Genomic DNA, 23,009 nt, shown 5'->3' with positions numbered 1-23,009 from the left:
TTGTAGATTAAAAGTTTGGACCTTTTCCAACACTTGGAACAATTTTTTTTCTCTTTGACCAGTAAAACTATATTTCATGTGGGTGCCCTTTGAATAGCAAGACCTTGTGAGCCAGCCAGAGTGAGGCCCATTCATTAAAGCACTATGAAAATGAAAGTAGCATGAATCTAAATGAGTGGGAGTGAGAGCTTGAGAGGAAGAGAGTGAACTACCTCCTCTTTGCCCTGTTGGCACTGGTTGGCATCGGAGCATGCTATATGGCCCTCATGACTGTGAACCTACATTCCTACAGTGGGGAGGCAGCAAGCCCCACTTCACAGGACTTTGCAAGGAATGCCACTTGCAACCATTGCAAAATGTCATGTATTCCAATCTTTGAAGTGTTCTGAACTCACACATGAGGGGTATTTTGCTTGCTTCATCTTTTCTTAGAACTGCTCTGTTTCTCTTCCTTTCTCCTGTTCTAAGAGCTGGGTCAATTTTGTTACCCGTATATTTTAAAGAGGAAAAACACAGGGAAAGGCATATGTGTTTGATATTTATTCTCATTTTGTCCTCAGAAGACTGGACACAGCTTCTTCTGAGCTTTTGCATGAAGCCAACTTGTAACATAGTTTTAATTCTGAAGGCAGTGCTCCCCCACCACACACACCTGCTCTCTTTCTGTTTCTGATTCTTTCCCTTTTTGTTTGTTGCTCTCCAGTATTTGACACTTCTAATGCTTGGCAATTTGTAATGCACCCTTCTTGCTATTTCATTTCTTTACGTCCCTGTGAGATGGGCAGGCCTTACTCCCATGCAAAGGCTAGGATAGGCAGGTCTTACTCCTATGCAAAGGCTAGTCTGGAGGGGTGAAGACCATGCCAACAAGTGGAAGAGCCGGGACTGAGCCTCGAGTCTACTGACCCCTCAGCTAATATTGTGTTTGCCCTGCCCTAGCTTCTTTGCAATGTGAGAGACTGAAATGAGGTTTAAAAAGTGCACAGGTCTAAAAGGACAATAGCTAAGCAGTAACATCTACCGTACATTTGTTTTCCAATCTTAAGAAGCACTGTTGGAAACTGTGGAGTAGAACCCTTCAGACTAGTTGGCATGAAGTTAGTTAGCGGGGCAGGGAAAATGCTTCCAAGGCGCTTTGGCTTCATCATTGCAAAACCTAAGTCATACCTGCATGAGCACCAGCTAGCCTTGACAAGAGGCACCACTGGGGTTTTGCATTGGTCCTCAGCCAGAAGACGGTAACAGCTAGAAACACCAAGCAGGATGCACTTTGGATAAGTGACTGGCTCCTCAGAGATGCAGTTTCTCACCTGCAAAGAGGGACAATGGCTCCTTGCCCCATCCCAGGGCCTACAGTGTACTGGATTTCATAACATGGTTCAGCAGATGTATAAACGTAGGACACTTTATTATGCTTTCCATAATAAGTCTTAAAACCTGAAGGGAGACTTGAGGAATCACTTCCGTTAAAGCCAAGTAACTCTGAATTATGTTTGATGAATTATGTTTGACCTTGACTTTTTCCAAGTAAGAATGTTAATTAACTTCATGGCAAGTACGAACATTTTACTCCTATTTTGGCTTTATATCTTCACTTCCTAAGACTTTGCCTGTGACATTCTGAAGTTTCTTTCCCCTTTATTATAAGATGCTCTTATCTTTGAAACTATCCAAATATGAAGGAAATCTCCTGCATGGATGTAGCTTTTGCATAATCCCTCGGCCATGGACCAAGAAGTACCATGGCCCACTGGAGTTCTTGATATCTGTAGCTGCAGCAAAGTCACAAAGAGTGGTTAGGAGCCACAGCATTTAAGCAGGTGGGCCAGGGACCAGTTTGATAGTGACCCCAGTCTCTGAAGCCGGCAGAGGGTAGCTGCGATATGTTTTGCCTATTAGAGTGATCTACTAGACAGGAATTCATTATGGGGTTACATGAAGTCTAACTTCTGCCAGAATGGCTCACACGATAAACCAAGTCACCTAAGAGAAAGAAATAGAGGAGTAGACCATGTATGCTTGTTTTCATTCATTTTTTCATTTCACAAACATCTACTGAACAACTCCTACATGCCAGGCCCTGCTCAAGGTGCTGGGGGCAGACAGAGACCCAGAGACACTTGGTCTCCCTCTGTCACAGGCTAGGATTAGGGGTGGGGGATTTACCATAGACTGGGCTCATTGCTTAGTTACAGGAAGAGCACAGAGGAGTTGGATCTAACCCAAGCTTGAGGGTTAGGATATTGGGATTTTCGAGCTGAAAATCACCCTTAAGGCCATCCAGTTCAAGCTTTTCATTTTGCAGACAGGGACAGCAACTTGGCTGGGGCCTGACCACCAGTGGGGAATCCCACTAGCCATCAGGCTGCCCTCCTCCCTCTGTGTGTGCCACACACAGCATGGTGGCAGACCTCAGCTCCATGCAGACCACTTGAGCAATACACCCTGTTGTTATAAAATGGTCGTTTTCTGAGAAGAAAAATGTAAACTCCATGTGAATAAATATTTTGGGGGAATATATATTCAGTGGGTCAAAGAAGCTCTGTTTTATTTCTTAGCTCTTGACTAATTGTTTCAAAGAGGAGGTATTTGTTATGTCCTATTTAGTGCAACTTACCAAGGAAGATAAGTCCATCCAATTAATTGGAGTTAATGGATATAAAAAGCTTGAATAGTCCAAAAATCGATCATTTAACACTATGCTGGAGAGGAAGGGGAGATGTAAAGACAAACATCAGTGAAAGCAGGGAAGCAAAATGTGTAAAACTTGGACCCAATTTGCTATCAGACTGACCTGGAGTCATTTACAAATGTGGCTCTGTAAGCAAGTTATGTAATCCGTTCTAAGCCTGCTTTTCTCATCTCTAAAAATGAAGATATCAAAAATGTCTACATCATTGGATTGTCATAAGGATTTGACAGAGTCATGCATGAAAAGCACTTTTCATATGCCTGGGACCTAATATCCACTTGAAGAAATGTTCTGTCTTATTAGCCCGTAACCAGAATTTAACAAGTTGTGATACTGTTGATATGTAAATGATAAAACTGACACTGTGCATATATTTGTATTAATATATGCCTCTCCCTTGTCTTAGAAAGGACAATAGAAATCCATGGGAAAGAAAAGCAAAAACAAAGCCAGGAATAAAGCTGATACCTACCCTGCAAATCTGCATCCTCGCTAAAGATCAGCCGCATGCTTCACTGAAAGCTTTCTCATAACCAATGCAAGGGGGACAGTCTGGTCAGTTAGACAATGTTCAGTGTTCAGACAGCTGACAAATATCTAATGAGTGCCTGCCACGTGCCAGACACTATTCTATGTGTTGGCAATTCAGCAGTGAAGAGAACAGACATATTTCTTACCCCTACAGTGATTATATTTTAGTAGGGAGAAAAAAGACAATACACATGGTGAATAAGATGACAGCAAGTTAAGAGGAGATACATGCAGTGGAGACACAAAGCAAGATAAGGGAAATAGAGTGCAGTTTTAAATAGGTTGGTTAGAGTAGCTGTCTCTAATTAGGATGGTGCCAATTGAGTACAGACTTGTAAGGGACTAAGGGAGCAGGCCATGTGGGTATTTGGGAGAAGGGTACTCCAGACAGGGAGAACCACCAGGGCAAAGGCCCTGAGGTTGGAGCAGGTCTGGGTGTTTAGTGAATAAAGAGGAGGCCAGTGTGCTGGAGCAGAATAACTGAGGGGGAGAGAGCAACGGAAGGTGAGGCCAGAAAAGTGCAGGGAGCCCCATTACACAAGGCCTTGTTGGGGAGCCATTGGAGGGTTTTGAGCAAAGGAATGATGTGATGTGACTTAGGTGTTTAAATAATCCCTCTGATGCTGTATTGGAAATAGACACTAAGAAAGCAAGTTTTTGGAAGCAGGGAAATCAAATGGGAAAGCTATTTTAATAACCCAAGCAAGAGGTGATGAGAAATGATTATAGTGTACTGAAAATGAGATCCATTTTGAAGAGAAGGGACAAAGGTATTTCCTGATTGATTAGGAAATACCTAAGGGGTGTAAGAGAAAGAGAGAAGTCAAGGATGAACTCACGGTTTGGGGCCTTAACAACTAAAGGACAGAGCAAGTGGAGCAGGGGATCAGAAGTTCGGCTTTGGATATGTGAAGCTACGAGACGTCCAATTAGACAGTCAGACAGATGAGCTTGGAGTTCAGCAGAGAGATGGACAGTGGGTAGTTGCTCAGTAGGGCAGACCCCAAGTCAAAGAAGGAATCTCACCAGTCTGATGGTGCTGTCTGTCTTCTGTGCATGGCAGTGGCCTCACTGGGCTTGAACTTGAAATTGTTTTCCAGAAACAGTGCTAGACTTTGAATTGCTCTTCACACACTCTTTAAATCTTCTCTCCTTTAATCTTCCTCCTTTTATTTATTGGCAAGACCTTTGGATAGAATGAGAAAGATATTTAGCAAAGCAAAGCTAGTAAACCCATGACCCTGGCCTGATTGACCCCAAGCTCAGAATTTCAAAACCCAGTTATAGCCCATGGGGTTATTACCTGGCTTACCCCAGAGGGCAGATATCGGCCACAGAAACATACTGTAGGGCTTACTTATGTTTTCTTAATGTGTATGAATTTTACGGCTACTGAGTCCATTCGCCAGGAAAGAAGAAATTGCTTTGAAAAAGAAAGAGCTGGTGGGCACCTGCCATGAGCCGGGTAGTGCAATAGAAAGAAAGAAAGAGCTGTCTCATTTCCTTCATTGCCTGGTCATGTTTTGTAGTCCTTTGAGGCTTATAACAAAAAAAAAGCGGGGAGTAACTCTTGTAGCAGCAGATTCTCTTATTCTGATAGTGCATCCTCAGAATATGGTTCCATGATGAAATGCGTTGTGACAGGCACCTCTGGGTCTTACACAAAAAAGTCATAAAGCATCAGTTAAGATTACTCAGAATTCCTTCAGTTGTTTCCTTCTCTTGGTCTTCATCACTGCATTCTCCACTCCATTTTAATAACTCAACCCTGGCCTAGTGAAACTGTTATTTAAATACATATATCTATAACCTAAGAATTGATGAAATTCCAAAACTCTTTCTCCCAGATTTTCTCCATCCTCTGGTACCGTGCCTTTGTCTGCACCCTGTCACCTGGACTTGGAAGTTGGGAGCAGTGATTTATTGCTGTGTGCAGCTCCCTGGCAGTTACCCACTTTCTTTTCCACTCAGTGCAGGGTTCTTCAAAGCTGCAATTTACTGAGTCCATTTTAGGTAGAGCTAAGTGCTGATAATAAATAGTTTAGTGATCTGAAAGCCTGAAATGAGACCCTAAGAGACCTGTACAGGGAAGGCTTTACAAATGTCCCAAACTATTATTAGGACTGAATTTCCATATTATGCTTTATAGATGTTCAGTTGGAACAGTATCAAATGAGAGAATGTTTGAGGGCACTTAAGCCTCAAAAAATGTATTAATGGAGTACTAGAATACCCTGTTAGATGGCCTTATCCTTTTATGTAACTTTTTTCTTTTTTCTCATGAGTAAATCAAAGCAGTTTGCACAAGGAAAACCTGAGTCTGTGCCCATATTCCACACGTAACCTCCACGAGTTGTTTCCCCTTCTGTAAGATGGGAATGATGGGAATGATGACATTAATACTTTCCCCAAAAGCTGTTATTTTCAGGAAGGAAGGAAGGAAGGTTAAATGAGCTAAAATTGCATATTGCACTACCTGGCTCATAGCAGGTGCCCAACAAGCATGAGTACCTTTCTCACCTCAGAATGGAGCACTGTGTGAGAACAGGTTGCCTGCAGTTCAGTGTCAAGGCAAGTCCAGAGTTAAGGTGGAAGCTGATGAATGTGTGAGCCTTGACTACAGGGTAATATGGGCCTATGGACTGTTTGGCTTGAGGAAAGGAGAGAATGTCACCAAAGCAAATTCAGTTGTGCCTTACATTCCTGCTCAGTGCTTAATAAAGACTTGTATTCTGTCTCATTTGGGAGTCACAGCAGGAAAGATTCTTATTCCCATTTTATAGATGAAGAAACTGAGACTTAGATGAGTTACAGGAAATGCTAGTCGTGAGCAGAGCCTAGACTGAAACTCTAGTCTTCTGACTTGTAGATCTATGTTCTAACCAGTACTTCTTACACTGCTATGAGGAATGGGCTCTGGGTCTCCCTGTCCAGCTTCAACTAGAATAGTTTTGGCTTTACTAGACTCAAATGCTAGGGCACTACATAAAATTTCCTATGATAAAAATTTCTGCTCTAAAAAAAAAAATTTGAAAACCATTTCACTCTATCATGATATCTTTGCAGCATAATGGATCTCAAACTAAATTATATTGCATTAGCCTGAGACAAGATACAAATAATCTTTCATTTTTCCCATCATTATCTCAGTCTCTGTGGGCTAGAATCTGGGACAGTGTTGTTGTCCCCATTTGTGAATGATGGAATTGGAAGCAAAAGTGGTCCTGTGGTTTGCTCACTACACAGTGTTTGCTGTGGAATAGTAATCGTGTGGTTGCCTAATATGCCTGTTTAATCAGATCACAAACACAGTCCCAGAGTTTAGCTGGTACAGGGGAAAAAAGTTGACCAAGGATTGATTGTCTTAGCAGTGCTGAATGGATTTTTGCATAACTTTGTATCCGTGGCTTTGTAAAATAAAAGAAGAAAATTTTCAGGACACTTTGCTCTGGAAAAACATCACTGAAGTAGCTGGTTCTTTTGTGGAATTCTGTAAATGTCACAGAATCTATTGTGGTGTTGTACTTATGCCCCTGGCCACTGACTCTTAATAAACACTTCTCTAAAGCACCAAGTTGGAGGTATTAGATGCTCATGAAAAGATGCACTTGTTCTCCCCTGCCCGTATGCCCATGATGCCCACCAAGCCACACTCTGTTTCTCAAGGCATGCTGTGGAATATGTGTTTTTCCTCTAACAGGGAACTAAAGGAGAAGATTCAGCCAGAAATCTTAGAGCTGATCAAACAGCAACGCCTGAACCGCCTTGTGGAAGGGACCTGCTTTAGGAAACTCAATGCCCGGCGGAGGCAAGGTATTGTTTCTGGGGACACTCCAAACTTGGATAGGGTAAACAGTGGCCCGCTCCCTGGAGAATCACAAGGGCATGGTGTTGGTTTACGGGTAGGCCATGCAGCATTGTACTCAGGACAGGAATAGCAGTCCAGGTCGTTTCTGGTTCCCATGCACACCCAGAGAGAATCAAAGTCCACAATTACCAGAAGAGCCACAGAAATGAAGAGCCATTCTTTGCTATTTAGTGCCACAAAAACTGCTAGTGGTGGTGTCAACAATAGCTGACACGTATATGAGCCTACCATGTGCCAGGTGCTTCTGAAACTCTAGTCTTCTGACTTCCGGATCTATGTTCTGGCCAATACCTGTTACAATGCATTACTTTATAAAGCATTTTATCCTCACCATAACCCTAAGAAGTAACTACTAGGATTGTGCCCAGTGTACAGATTAGGAAATAGAGGCACTAAAGGGCTAAGAAACTGGCCCAAAGTCACAGAAGAGCAAGGATTCAAACTCCACAGCTCCAGGACCCTTCCTTTTAATGACTCCCCTTGCTGTAGGAGAGCTGGCACTCACTGTTTGGTTTGATCTTGGAGCTTCCAGCATGGATGGCCCTTATTGTCAAATCTCCCACACTGCTTCTCTTCTAGGACAGAGTTATTTTATATGTGGATATAAGTAACAGTGAACTAAGATAGGGTAGCATCACTTACATAATTTCTCAAGGCAGATTTCTGAATTGTCTCTATAAATTCTAACCTCAAAATGTCAAATTCAAATGGATGTCAAAAGAGTAGACCCAACAGGTGGGAAACATGTCTAGCTGTTTCTTTCCTGGACAAGTAAAGCACCCTTGACTGTTTTCTTGCTCTCTTGACATGCTGCTGATTGCACAGCTAGAGTCTTCATACCACACTCTCCTAGAAGCAAACAGCCAGAGCATAAAACTGAAAAGTAAGATTTGGGAAGAGGCAAAGAGATTGAAGAAGAGGCAGGAGCAAGCACAGGCATTAGCAGCTATACTAAGAACACCAGTTATGGCCCAGGAGAAACTTTGGCAGATATTTTGAAACCTGCTGGATGCCCTGCTAAGCCACAGAGCTCACCCACTAATGACAAAAATCATTTTGTGTTTGTCAGCTGAACTCATCCCCCGGCCATTTACTGTAACTGTCCTGTGCTGCATATTCAGTAAATTGGAAGTATTTCTCATGTCACCATTAAACATCACATTGAGGAACTTCCAAAGGCAGAACTTCCTGGAGGAATGAAAATGCAGTTTCTTCACAGAGAATGAGAAGCTCTTAGAGTGAATTTCAAGCTGAGCCTCAGGAGAGGACAATGGGCAGAGTAATAAGGGCTGAGTTACAGAGAAAGCCTCCTATTAGTGAGACCAGTGGAAGAGGGAACTCCTCCCTCCCATTCAGCCACTGAAGAATGAGTTCATGCCCTCCTCTCATCGCGTTCCTTGCATCGGGCATCATGTCAGAGTAAATGGTGTTCCAAGAAGACCACAGGGCTCAGTGGCAAGGACATAGCCCTGGAACCAGGCAATGTGGGTGCGATCTTGCCTCTACACCTGTCCAGCTGTGTGACCTTGGGCAATTTCCCCATCCGAAATGGGGATAGCAATGCCTGTCTCCCAAGGCTATCATGAGGAAGAGAGGTGATTATGAATGTAGCAACAAGAAACAGCAAAACAAGGGAGCTACTGCTGTTCTTTAAGATTGTGTAGGAAAAAAGCAGTGAGCCAGAGTGAGTGGACTTGGTGCCAGGCTTCTCAGTTCTTTAAATAACCACCTAGGTGTCTTTAGGAAGGACACATGACCTCTCAAGGCCCCAAGTTCTCATCTGTAAAGTGGGAGGACAGGATTAGGGGATCCAGGAGCTCATTTAGTCAGAGAGTCGGTTGTATGCCCTGATGTCTTTATTGCCTTTGGAAAAATCAATGTTTGGGATATATTGCCCCCATAAAGATGATTTATAAGATTTTTACTTACTTGACATTGGGCAAAGGGCACAGAAGTTTTGGGGATGGGAAATGGCAAATAGACACCCATTGCCTCCGCTGCTGCCCAGCTAGAGTCCCTCACAACCTAGCTCCTAGCACCAATTTAACCTTCTAGTCTACTGCGTCATGAGACTTCCCTGACTAGGTTGAAGTGGGTAGGTTGTATCAGAATAATCCTGTTTCTAGATGTATTAACTACAGGGTTTGTTGTTGTTGTTGTTGTTGTTGTTGTTGTTGTTGTTGTTTAAAAAATGTTAGTCCCGTATCTATAAATTTTTCCAATTTTCTAAAAATGAACTACCCCTGAACAAAAAAATATTAGCATCTAGATTATAAATTTATGAGTTGAGCTCCCTAGGGAGCATGACCATCTGTGTTTAATACAAAATCATCCTTCCGAGTGCAGAAAGGAAGGCTTTTTGGTATTTGGTAAATGGATTTGAAATCTGGTGACTGGCTCTGTGCTTAAAAATAGGGATTCAAAGCAGACTGTGCTGAAATTGGTTTCCTATCACCCCATCAAAACATTCCATTTAGATTTACACAGATTAATAAGAACATGACATTTTTAATCCCTTCGAGAAAGACGCACTTCTACATGAGATCTCAGACTGGGATGGACAACCGCCTGCCTGGTGCCACCACAGGTTAAAGAGCAGACACTCCCAGTGCAGGAGCCAGCACCATACTCCCTCTAAACTTGTCTGACAATGAGTAGGACACAGATGAGTGAATTTCAGTAGTTAACTTTATAAGGGAAAATATGAAAGAACTTACAGCTCCACAGAACTGGAAAGTGAAGGAACAAATAGAGAGTGCTCGACTGTGCCACGTTTGGCTAGCAGGTCCCCGAGTTGATACTTGCTGATCCTTCTGCCTGTCTCATGTGCAGCTCTGCTACTGGAATAGTCACATGCAGACATTTACAGATCTGGGTTTCTGGGAATTCTAACCACATTAGGACTGGGAGGTAATATATCTCAAAAGACACAATAAGCTGGGTTGAAGTCCCTGTTCCTACTCACTAGCTGGGTAGCCTCGGGCAATCTGCTCAATGTCTTTGTGCTCCTCTTTCTTCGTCTTTCAAATGGGGATAATGTTAGTTCCTCTATCAAATAGCCATAAGGGGTAAGTAAAATTATACATCTATAGCACTTTGATGCTTGGCAGATTATCAAACATTCATTAATGATGTTTGCTATTAATTTTAGCTCGTAGCGCCTCAGAATATAGATTTTTTTTTTTTTTTTGAGACAGTCTCGCTCTGTCACCCAGGCTGGAGTGCAATGGCATGATCTCGGCTCAGTGCAACCTCTGCCTCCTGGGTTCAAGCAGTTCTCCTGCGTCAGCCTCCACTGGGATTACAGGCACCCGCCACCATGCCCGGGTAATTTTTTTGTATTTTTAGCAGAGATGGGATTTCACCATGTTGGCCAGGCTGGTCTCGAACTCCTGACCTCAGATGATCCACTTGCCTTGCCTCCCAAAGTGCTGGGATTACAGGCGTGAGCCACTGCACTTGGCCAGAATGTATATTTCTAAGCACAGGAGGTGGAGTAGCATGGGAGCCCACACACCTGCATCACTCCACTCTCTCCCCAAGCTTATACATGTTGACCACGAAGTATAAGCTCTGGTCGCAGAATCCTTGGCATGGAAATTGCCTGGCTTCTGTGTTCCCTGGACTCCTGCAGGAGAGATTTCAGATGAAACCCCAGAAGATGTCTGTGTTAGGGACACTGTATTAGTCCATTCTCGCATTACTATAAAGAAATGCCTAAGACTGACTAATTTATAAAGAAAAGAGGTTTAATTGGTTCACGGTTCTGTAGGCTGTACAGGAAGCATCACAGCTTCTGCTTCTGGGGAGGCCACAGGAAACTCCCAATCATGATCCAATCATGGTAGAAGGTGGGGCAGGGTCAGCGAGGAGCTTCACATGGCCACAGCAGGAGGAAAAGAGGGAGGAGGAGGTGCCACACACTTAAACAACCAGATCTCAAGAGGACTTTATCACTATACAGTACCAAGGGGAGGATGGCGCTAAAACATTCATGAGCATTCCACCCCCATGATCCAGTCACCTCCCACCAGGACCCACCTCCAACACTGGGGACTACAATTCCACATGAGATTTGGTGAGGACACAGATCGAAATGATACCAGCCACTATTTGCTTCATGAGAATCTGTAGGCTCAAGAACTGCCCCCTACTTCTCTTGTATTTTAGAGATGAAGGTCTTTCAGAATCACTTGCATTGAATGGCCTTGGTAAGAGTCCAGGGCTAACATTGGAAATCATTTCAAGAAGTGATAACATGAAACCTCCTGCAGAGGACAGTGTCTGTTTCATTGACCAGCATTCCCTAAGTGCTGACATGACAGGCTTATGTTGGAACTCAATGTTGGGCAAAATGCGTACCTACCACTCCTGCCAACAAGGCTGGTATATCTTACGTTGCTCTGGAGGCCCCCTCAGAAGACCTAGAGCCAAGTGGTGCGTTCAGGCATGGTAACCATATTGCCCTGTTGTGGGGAGCAGGTCATTCCTTTCTCCATCCCTGGTTGAAATTTTATTTTAATATTTTGTTACAAAAAGGCAGGTATAAATAAATACATATTTTCAAATTATGAAAAGCCAGTTCATTTTCATGAAAAAAAGGCACTTCCCAATAGGTCAGAATAATACATAATCATTGTTTCCAAAAGATGGAGGGACAGTAGTGTGGACGAGAGGGACTGCCATTGACTAGAAGAGCAGGAAACTACAAATATGTTCTGAGAACCAATTCTGGAAGATGTAGGATCCATACTTTATGTGTGTTTTACTCATATAATTATGACCATTGTACATATGAAGAACAGGGATTTCTGAAGTTTTTACAATTAGGCCAAGGCCCCGCAGCTAATAAGCATCAGGGCCAGGTGTGTCATCCAGCTATGTGTGACTTCAAGGCACCTGTTAGACCAAATCATCTTGGAAAGTACCTAGGGACTCCGGTGTCATTTGCTCTGAGCAGCTGTGTCCAGGGAGGCAGAATTCAGAATCAAAACACAAATCTGTCCTTTTAAAGAAAGCTCAGTGAAGTGAGGAAGATTTGATGCCCTTCGTCTCTGTATCAATAGTTGTTTCCCTTTTTTGTACCAACAAAAAAATCTTAGATCTCATCACCTGAAAGATGACATTTCCCTTTAAACACATTGCTGGGTCCCTCTTGTTTTGTGACTTGGAAAGTTTGGACCTTAGGCAGAAAGCCGACCTTGTTCTGAACACACAGAAGACTTGGCACATTTTAGGTTATCCTTGGGAAAATTCAGAATCCTAATGGAAGTGTTCTAAAGACATCTTTTAGAAAAACCTGTTCTCCTCCCTAATACAGGACTCTTAGGGCCCCCGGGGTCAGCCCCCAGCTGCTGACAGCGGGCTCTGCACTCAAAACAAAGATGTGTCCTGATTCCATGGCAGTCTCGGGGTTTGGTTCTTGCTGTGCCCTGTGTCTCACTGAACTGGCTGGCATTTCACACCTACCAGTGGTTGCCATTGTTCAGCTTGCTGGGCTCTCCTGGAGACCCAGGGACCAGCCCCAAGCTTGTCTTGGGCCTGGATGATTGAAGACAGACGGTGGGCTACACTGTCTGATAGAACTACCTACGGCTGTTTAAGTTATTTAAAATGAAAGAAAATTTATAATTTGTTTTCTTAGTATTGGATAAAACAGATACAGAGAATTTCCATCATTGTAGGAAGTTCTGTAGGAGGGCACTGCAAAAATTACAGTTGACAGTGGTTATTAGCTCCATAACAATCTATGTGACATTGGGAATAGCTTTAATCAGCCCTTCTTACCAGGCTTGTGAACTCTGAAAGCAGCTCTTCCCTCTTATCCTTCACACACGCACACGCACGCAAGAAAAAGATTGAAACACGAAATTCTCCCTGTATTTTGTTTTGGGTTTGGAGATGAAGCCTGGCTATTAACGTACTCTCATTAGTAATTGACTGGAAGACCTCCACATTAACTATTGTTTTCTCCAAAATGCTAGTAAACAATCTTTGATAATGTTCTCACTGCTTCCTGCTAATTGCTTTTAGTGACGCAATTCACTCTTTCATCGCCCAGAGGGATAAAGGAACAAGTAACATCATGCTGGGGTTTGAAAGGAAAATACACATTTGTCTTGCCGTAAAAGAAACTGCAAATCAAGCTGCTGCTGGTGGCTGACACTGAAACTGTCTCACCCAACATGTCGACGCACTGTGCTGATGCTATCCTTGTAGTGGCTCTCCCTTCAAGACAGAAATACACAACGTCTAAGCCTTCCAAAGCTAAGGACTCCAGTTTTACTGTGAGGAAGATACTGGCTGAGTAGCCTCCCATTTGATTATGAGTCAAGACAAGTTTCTCAGCGTTTTCAGCCCCTTTTTCCAATATTTTGCCATCCATCCAAGACTTCCTAATTGATGAGGAGTGGAACACATCACTTATATCTGTGATGTACCAATCTTTTTGCTTTTTATCGTTTTAGTAGTAGACAGAAGAAGAGAAACTTGTATAGGATAAGAGAATTAGCCAGAGGTAGGAGGAAAACCAAGGCAAGATGGTGTCATACAAGTCAAGGGAATTTCAGCTTTGGAAAGGAGGAAAATCTGTCCGCTGCAGACCCTTTGGGTTTTCTTTAAACAAACATCAACTCCAACTTTGCAAGGAAGATGGCTGTTTTGCCTCTTGAAACTCTGACAGATAGCCACTGTTCTCTGATCATTACTGTATGTAAGAATATGTTGCACAAGAGATTTCTGCATTCCTATTTTTCTCCATAGTATTGCCAGAGTTGCTGATTTGTCCCAGTTCCTACTTCCCAGACCTGGGAAACAACATCTTTCTCTTAGCTGCCTTGAAGAACTGAGGGAGCTCCTTTTCCTTGAACTCCTTGGCCTTGTCTTTCATGTCTACCTTCCGTTCTAATGATGTTTCGCTACACATAGTAGAGTGCTGTGTGCATTGTAGACAGCCACTCAGCAAATATTCATTGGATAAACAAATTTATCCTGAAAGTAGAGCAGCAAAATTTTCGAAGTCTTACAAATCAATATATCTTACACATGAATATTAAGTTGTGCAATTTACTCTACAATAATATGTGTTTGTATTATACTGTGCACCAGTTAAATTTCTTAATTCCCTCAAAATCAATTGAGTGTCATTGATCTTGTTTGATTGTGACACATTGGCTTGGCTTCAAGTCCCACTGCTGACCCCTAGAGTTTACTTACCCCAGCTTGAGAAGCAAGGGATTCCTATAAAGCACAGGCCAAGACCTAACTCACAATAAGCCCAGCATGTCCAAGTACCACTTCTCACTGTCTTCCTTCCCAGCCTCTATCACCCTTTAGTCGCTCACACAGCCAAACGTATCACCTAGATGCAGCAAGGAAAGGAAAACTTTATAGCAGATTTCTCCAGTTGGCTTTCTGGTCATCACAGCCACGTAGGGCAGGGGAAAGTATCCGTGGGGAGAGGCAGCCCCCACAGGCCCCCAAGAGCACTGTTGATGTTCAGAAAGCCATTGCCTCCTGCTCTGGAATTCACAGTTCCTATTGTAAGTTACAAGTCAAATCCCCAAGGTTGCTCTCCTCATGAAAAACCCATAAGTACACATTTGCCTAATTTAAATGTCTGTGAATTACTCAGAGAATAACTGTTTTCTCCCTTTGAAATGCTCTCCCAGAAAAATGACCCATGTTTGGTATATACATAGCATAATTTTGAAATTTAGCAATTTCAAATATTTTCCTAGCTGTTAAATGACCCTTTTCCCACTCAATTTTTTCCACTAGAGTTCAGATTCCTTTAAATCTATGGATTGCCGTACTCTGACTATGCTTCAGAATTCTCAAACTCTATTTAAAGATGAGGAAGATAAGAATCACAGAGACACTCTCCTTTTGTGGATCAAATTTGGGCATTTTCTTTGTTCATTGTGTGGCTTTTACTTCCATTCTTAAAACTTCTATTTCTATTAAAAGAATCATAATTAAACCATGGGTTTGCAGTGACAGCAATTTTAGAGAGAAAACCACTTTTCTTAAAATATAATGAAGAGCTTTTTAGTTAGAGTGGCTTGAAAACAAATTATATTTCAGGTGCAATAATGAGGTAACTTGGCCAAGGCCTCAAAGGGTACCAACCGCACAGTGGTGCAAAGGGGCTTGTAGGTGACTGACACCTCATGCCTTAGGCATTTTGATCAGGTCGCTTTGGGTCTTCATTTATCAGCTTAGCCAACGCCAACTGTGCAACTTTTATGTGTCAGACACTGTGCCAAGAGATTGGGATGTTGCAATTATGAAGACAGTGACTGTCATCGGAGAGACTGTGACTCTTCCACACTGTCAGGGCTGGAGTCCTCTTCTCCTATCAATATTAATTGTTCACAATACACCCTCAAGGGCAAGTTACTTACCTAGGGTCTGTAGCAGATAATGGGAAATACTAAGGTGTTAACATTAGGCTCCAATATTGCCAGTCCAAGCCAAACTGGTGGTGCAAAGAAGACTGTAGAACATCTCAGAGGATGGGGAGAGGCCCTTCGGCTGCAGGGATAAAGAGGGCTTCCTGGAGGAGACAGCTGCACAAGCATTGCTGTCACAGTTCAAGTCCCTAACCTATAAAAAGTGCTCTTTGCCTCTTTCTTCCTGCCTCATAGACTTACTCAAAATTTCTTCTCACTTTTGAGAGACTGAGGCAGTAAAGTTGAGGAAGTTGTTTATAAGGATGACCCTAATCTCCTGGTCATACCTATCCAGAGAAGTAAATTCTGGGAATTGGAGAGGAGAATGATTGTGCATGTCCCCATTCTTTGGCTAAATCCGTGAATTATTTAGATGATTTCCTCATGAATCCCACCCACCATGTGTATTACCAGTGTCCTAACAATTCGTTCATGATTAATGTGCGTGTGGTAGCCTAGGGTAGGGGTTTGTTGTATCAGCTAAAATCTGGCCTTGGACACAACTGTCTCAACAGTCTGAAATTCTCAGAGAGGAAAGTGGAAGCAGAAACATTCTGAGAAATCTGTTTTTTTTTCTATATCTCCCTCCCTCTTTTGTCAGTAAATGAATAAGGAGCAGTTCCCATGGTGGTTATCATTAGTGATAACATAACCTCTGGAAGCCACCACCTCATAAAATCTATTGCTATTGAGCTTGAAGAGTTCAATGACTTTACTAATGGTTACCAAATGTATACCAAGCAGGACAGGTGATAACTAAATATTAAAGTCAAAAGGGAATTTATTGCCCAGGGCCCTAGAATTCATTCTTCCTCAAGACTTAAAATCAAATGAACTGCTTGTTTCCTCCAGGCAAGAGTATTAAGAAATAACCAGGCTAGTATTTTGATAAACCACAATCACTTACCTTGTAAACTTGTGTTTTTTCTCTCAGACAAGTTTTGGTATTGTCGGCTTTCGCCAAATCACAAAGTCCTGCATTACGGAGACTTAGAAGAGAGTCCTCAGGGAGAAGTGCCCCACGATTCCTTGCAGGACAAACGTAAGTAGCTCTCCTTGGCAGAGGCCTGAGTGGTGGTCGGTTGGTTGTTTCCTAGTCACAATATATCACGCAACAGAACTATCAGCCTAAGTAAGCCCTTTGAACACATCTCATCTAGTTGTAAGTCGTCGCCTGAGCCATCTCATCAAGTACAAGACCTGGATGGACTTGGGGTTTGGAACTGAATAGGGGAGAATGTAAAATGGATGCAAAGGTATCTTAATTGAAAGACGTAAACTGGGGGTTCAAATGTCCACTTTTTACATTATTTATCCAGGTGCTGTGTCAAGGAGCAAAAACAATACAAACCTGATTCTGTCAGCTGTCTTTTTCTGAAAACCCAAAATAATTTCTTATTTTCGTAACTTATATGCCTGACCCCTACAACATTTATTCCTTACAATTTAGTGTATCCCATAGTTATGACACAGAGTTAATGGCAGAGCCAAATATAGCTAGTTTACCTCAAAGACACTTTGAAAATGATGATCCGTTACCTCTACTGTTTGCTAAATATTTCTCTTGTATATTTTTTGGCTTTTTCTATATGTTGTCTGTTTTAACATACATGCTTTTGAAGAGACAGTAATGTGCAGGATTCTTTTAGCCCCACAGGGAACCAGGTGCCAGGTTGACAGTGTTAACAATACAAATTAAACAAGTATTATAGAAACACTGAAATACACAAGGGTGATAAATTAATTTGGAGGAGAAATGAGATAAAATGAACGTAGCCTCAGAGGATATCCCAAGTAGAAAAATCCGAGAGGGAGAAAACATTCAGAGCACTTTTAAATAACCTTTAAAAGTCACCTTGACCTTGCAGTGTTCAGATAAGCGTGTCCCAGACAGTGTCCTTACCCAGAGTCTCACACCTTCTGTCCTGTTACCCTGGGGCCCATGGAAGTCAAATCTGGATTACCTTCCTCACAGCTCACGGCCATTGAAGGTGAAAATAACCCATGAGTGGGAAATTTCCTGACACATTCAGACTCTGCGCTGACATCTCAGGCAGATAGCCTAGAACATTCACTCTTCCTCCAGCTTAAAAATGGGACAGTCTGGTCTTTGTGATGTCACTTAGTTCAGAAAACGATCTTGTTTTCTTTCATAGGAAAACTTTCTTCCCAGCCCACATTATTGGCTCCCTAAGTCAGGGGTTATAGAAAGAAATCTGAAATCCACTGCTGCAGAGAGCCTGGGACATTGTCTATGCCTCCCTGCTTTGGGGCAGGAGTTAGGGGTGTCCTGGGCCTCTACCTGTAAATGAGGATCCTCCTTTCACAGTTCCAGCCTTCCCCACCCCACCTTGGCCAAGCTAGACCAGCGGTTCTCTAAACGTGGTCCCTGGAACATCAGCAGCAGTATCACCTAGGAACTTCTTAGCAATGCACATTCTCAGACCCCATTCCCAGCCCTGCTAAATCAGAAACTCAGTGGGTGGGGACCAGCCATCTCTGTTTTAACAGATGTTCCCGCCAGTTCTGACATGCACAAGTTTCAGAACTGTGATTCCCCAAATGTGGCTTTCACTAATAATTTTAAAAAAACAAAAAGTTTAAGTAAATTAATAGCATGTTGCTAACTTTTAACTTGGGCCAAAAAAAAAAAAGGATATTAAAAAATAAAATCTAAAGTTTAATATCACAACCCTTTCATAAAAGAAAGGACCCTCGATTACAAGAAAAAAAAAAGTAAGAAGGACCTAATCTTAGATAAAAGACAGTCCCTTCTGCTAAACTAAATTAGCCCTCTGAAAAACTCACACCAGCATTCTCGTTTTTCTGCATTTGCTATTAACTGGTGAAAAGCTCACTGGTGTAAACTCCCTTGTGAACTAGGAACTGACCAGAGCCCAGCGATGTGGAATCACTGCTCTGCAGTGGTTAAACAGAAAGAGTTGAGGTTATTGTTGGTTGAAGCAAATAGCAGCTCCCTAGGAGGTCCCCCACAGCCCCATTCTTAACCTGTCACAAGGGGAAAAGTGGTCAGGACAGAACAAACACAGCTTGACTCCCCATATGGTCCAGTGAATCTGCTCTCCCACTAACAGGACATAGTGTTTAGCCCCATGTTTATAGGGATGTAATCACTTCTCAACCCAAAGATAGGCACTTGACCGACAGGTTTGCCAGGTGTTAGCACAGCACCCCCATGCTAATTGGCCAGCTACCTAGGATATTGGCAGCCACAGCAACAAAGCCTTGTGTAGGGGCAGTTCCTGGTCTTGCCCACAAGCTAATGCCCCCCAGCTCTGCTAAGACCCTCACCCCCAAGACTCCAGGGTGAAAATAACTAACCTGGAACTAGAGGTGCTGATGCCAGGGAGAGCCAGCTTGCCAGGGTGAGTGCAGGAGAGCAAGGCCAGAGCTGCAAATCTCCACACAGCTTTTCGCAGTGGCCACTGAGCAAGGCTGGTTCTTGAAGGGATTGTGACAGCCCCTCCTGACCATGCCTCCAAAACTCTTAGCAACTGCTTTCCTCTGAAATGAAGTTCCAAAGAGCTGCTCCAAAAACAGTATATCCATTGCAAGATGAACTAACAATGCATACTTGTGTGGATCTATTTATCTGCACAAGTATTTATCCACACCTTGTGGGAGAGTGTGTGTGTGAGAGAGAGAGAAAGAGAGTGTGTGTGTACTAGTAAGACTGTATCCTTCTGCACATATGTGCTAGAGAAATGGGTATACTCATGTAATGAATTGAAATGAAGCAATACTGTGCCTGAGACAAAAAAAAAGCCCGGCCTAATAAGCTGAAGTTTCTTGCTGCAGGCCTGCCACCTTGGTTTGCATTTAATTCCAATTCTGCATTCTGCCTGGAGCAAAATAGCCACCTTTTGGAACTCTTAAAAGTCAGAAACCTCATTCCACTGGAAAAATGAGACGTGCTTTTAATTAATGTTCAGTGTCATTGCTCTTGCCACATAACATTGCCCTCTCTTGAGACCAAGGCAGAGAGTGTCTTGTGCCCCTTGAGTTAATCCGTGCTGAATACTGAGCTATTGATAAATCAAATAGTATAATGGAGTTTTCTTAATACAGATAGTGCACATGAGGATTGAGGGTGCCTCCTTGGCTGTCTTCTCCAAAGCTTTAGGAAATCTTTCTTTTTGTATTCCTTTTCTTTGTCAGGAAATTTGGCCTTTGAAAATCGACATCTTCTTACATCCCCCCTCTCCCCATATCCCTCCCAAGCTGACTTACAGGTTGTCATAGCCCCCAATAAACATAGGACCCCACTGCTTTCCAGCCATGCCCTGGGTTCCTCACTGCCTCCCTTTGAAAGAATCTAGGCCAGCATTCCTCACTCCCACATCAGAGGGGGCAGGGAGGAAAGTTCTGGCTCACCCTGCCCATGTGGAGATGAAGCCTGCTCCAGTGGATGCGAAGAGCGGCGACACAGGGAGGCACTGTGGGCAATTTGGGTCACCAAAGCACAGCGAATAATTCAGGTCTCTCCATCTACAGAATTAACTCTGATTATTGATAATGGGAATAATTGCAAATGGCATTTATTGAGTGCTTACTATATGCTAGGCCCTGTGCTAAGGGCTTTACATAAATTATTCTCAACAACCTAAAGAGGTAGATAATATTGTCCTTATTTTACAGAAAGGAAACTGAGATACAGAAAGATTAAGTAACTTATTCAAAGTCATAAGATTAGTAAATAGTAGAGAAAGATCTGAATGTAACTGTCTAACTCCATGGCCTAGATTTTCACCCACTACTGTGTACTGCCTAGATTAAAAGCCAACAATGATCTCAGCTCCAGCATCAGGATTTAACTCTCAGAGCAACCATATGGGATAGATAATGTTAGAGTTACAAATTGCAGACAAGGAAGTTGAGGCTCTCAAAACTTAAGCCCAAAGTAGTAGAGGCGGTTGGTGGATGTAGAATTCAAACCCTGGCACTCTGATTCCAAAGGCGCATCTTTTCCCCACCATTCCATGCCATGTGGCTGATCTGCTAGGCCACAGAGACCAGGTTCTTCATGCAGCTATCCTGGGATGAGCCTGTACCTCCTCATATTTCTGCCCACAGGAGCTTCTACTATGGAGCTGTGCACACAGCAAGAGCTCAAGGCTTACTAGCTACTTCCTTTGAATGGTTTCTGCCTGAACTTGGATCTCACTGATGAAAGCTGAAACTATTTTAATCATGGGTGGCCACATTTGCTTTTTCAGTAGTATTTTTGTTTTAAATCACAATTAAACTTCCTTCCACAGGTATTAGCATTCAAAGAGTTTCCTGAATGTCCGAAGTGATAACCACATTTGGGGCTGTGCTCAGCATGATTTGGGGGGCTGGCCCCTTACAAAGGGAGAAATCATGGCCTAGCAGGGGAACATGCAGTGGAAGAAGAAGCACTAAACCCAGCTCTTTTCACCTACTAACCTAGCTGTGTATCATTGCATAATTGATTTCCTCCCTTTAGGATCAGTCTTCCCATCTGTAAAATAGGAGTGTTGAATTAAGATGGTCTCAACCCAGCTCAAACTGTAAAAAGCATTGAAAGAAATGAGGCCATGCCCCAGGGGGTAAATGTGGTGGGAGGGTGCGTTCTTCACTGGTGACCCTGATTCTCACAGATCTGGAGCCCACTTCTTTATCTTGCTTCCACACAAAAGGCCTCATCAAAATGCTAGCCTGGCTTTGAAGTCATCAAGAGCCCCCTGCAGCCTCCTTAGAGTGTAGATTCTGGAGATATGAGTCTGACCCCTCTGTTTCTGCTCATGAGAATAGAGAGGCCATCATTTGAGCCTTTCTAATGCCTAATCTTCTGGTGCATCTAGAAGACAAACTATGCAAAAAGCAACCTTTAAAAGCTACACTGTATTTTTAGAACTTTGTGTTTTCCTTTTAGTCATAATCCTATGAATGATGTAGCAGCTGGTCTCTAGGACAAGGGACAATGCATATAAAAAAATATATATGTACTTCCACAAAACCTAGTGAAAAAGTGACGCTTCTCCTTGGAAGCCTTTCTATTAGAGATTCTGAAGACCACCCCCCAGGACAGACTATGGTATTACTCTTGTCCCATTCCATACAATGGGTTTTCAAAGCTAAGGGCTAACTTACCAATTGTAGCTTGTGGACACTGTCTCTAGTTCATGGACCATGCTATATATTATAACAAAAAAACTTTCTACAAGACACTTGTGACTCAAACTCTATTTGAATCTTGAGAACGTTTTTTAGAATGAGTTTGTTGACTATATCACATTCACTTCAATGGTGGGTTTTCCATTGGAAAGTCAGCCAACTTCCCAGAGTATCCAAATGTCCCTTCCTACGGTAGGGATTAGGCAGCCAGATCAGCTACTGAGGGAAAGGAGGCCAGTTCTTGGTTATGAAAAGGGATTTGAGGAGAACTGAAGTCAGTGTTCATGGTCAAAGGTAGGTTCAGGAATCATAGGGACCACCCACAGGAAGATGCCAACCCCAAGGGGGTCAGGCAAAGAGGCAGAAAAGGGGTCTGAGATCAGTCAGGAGGGGCTGTAATGCTACCTTGTGCTGCAGGGATAAACAACCCCAAAATCTCCATGGCTTGCATAACAAAAGGTTATTTCTCACTCACGTTATACAACATACACAGGTTGGCAAAGGGCTGCTCCATATAGTCATTCAGGAACACAGACCAGTGTGCACCATGTCTTCCATCCTCTCACTTTCTGTTTATTTCCAACCCTAGGAATTGCCCTCTGACTATCGTCACCTTGTCCTCCCTGAGCCTCCTCTGCCCATCCATCCATTCCCTGGGCCTCTCCTGTGACATCTGGATGGAACAGGTCACTCCTTCAGTTTCTGCAGCAGGGGAAGACAGAATGGAGGGCCTCCACCTAGAAAAGAAGCATTTTCTTTCACATTTCATTGGCTAAAATTAATCACATGACCTGACTGCAAAGGTTGCTGGGAAGTGTAGTTTTCTGTGGCCAGAAGGAAGGAGAGACAGCTATTCATAACTACAAGTAATGTCTACCAGAAGGGTCCAGAATCAGGTTGCAAGATGTGGTGAGATATGGCAGGGGAACCTACAGAGATTCCTGGAAGACTCATCACAACCCCACTCTTAGGGTTACAGAGAGGCCTAAGAGTGTCAACAGATATGGACAAAGTTGTTAGTAATTTTAGGGTACCTGGAAAATGTTAGCATTTGAGGCCTTCTTGTGTATTGTTTTAATATTCTAGGAGTGTCAACAGATATGGACCAAGTTCTTAGTAATTTTAGGGTACCTGGAAAATGTTAGCTTTTGAGGCCTTCCTGTCTATTGTTTTAGTATTCTAGGTATTCTGTAATTTTATCCTTATCTGTCACCTTCACAACCCAATTTCCCAATGAAAGGATGTGAGCTTTAACTGTGAAATCTCTCATCATCTTCATCATTAAGAGAGTCTAAGGAATTGATTA

At 42.9% G+C, this 23,009-nt stretch overlaps 1 protein-coding gene and 1 long non-coding RNA gene across 17 annotated transcripts in view; one reads left to right on the top strand and one right to left on the bottom strand.

The window, feature by feature from the left end:
* Positions 1-23,009, top strand: part of ELMO1 (engulfment and cell motility 1) — a 596,421-nt gene that overhangs the window by 554,731 nt on the left and 18,681 nt on the right. For 13 of the 15 annotated variants that reach the window (NM_001206480.2, XM_011515654.3, NM_014800.11 and 10 more), the window contains 2 exons: positions 6,924-7,036; positions 16,479-16,586. In NM_001206480.2, the coding sequence (NP_001193409.1) occupies positions 6,924-7,036; positions 16,479-16,586 (221 nt within the window). The remainder of the gene's footprint in view (positions 1-6,923; positions 7,037-16,478; positions 16,587-23,009) is intronic. The other 2 variants (NR_038120.2, XM_047421089.1) reach the window with 1 other exon arrangement.
* On the bottom strand, positions 528-13,270 carry LOC105375235 (uncharacterized). Of its 2 annotated transcripts, XR_002956504.2 has the most exons (6): positions 10,609-13,270; positions 9,809-9,931; positions 4,250-4,409; positions 2,795-2,864; positions 2,618-2,702; positions 1,857-1,983 (listed from the first exon to the last, which is right to left on the bottom strand). It is a non-coding gene; the product is annotated as an uncharacterized LOC105375235 (long non-coding RNA). The 2 variants fall into 2 exon arrangements; XR_007060290.1 differs by lacking the exon at positions 2,795-2,864 and having other exon boundaries at positions 528-1,983.

Source organism: Homo sapiens, chromosome 7, assembly GCF_000001405.40.
Source record: "Homo sapiens chromosome 7, GRCh38.p14 Primary Assembly".
Lineage (NCBI taxonomy): Eukaryota > Metazoa > Chordata > Mammalia > Primates > Hominidae > Homo > Homo sapiens.
The sequence above is the reverse complement of the archived record's forward strand: the minus strand, read 5'-3'. Positions and strand labels throughout refer to the sequence as shown.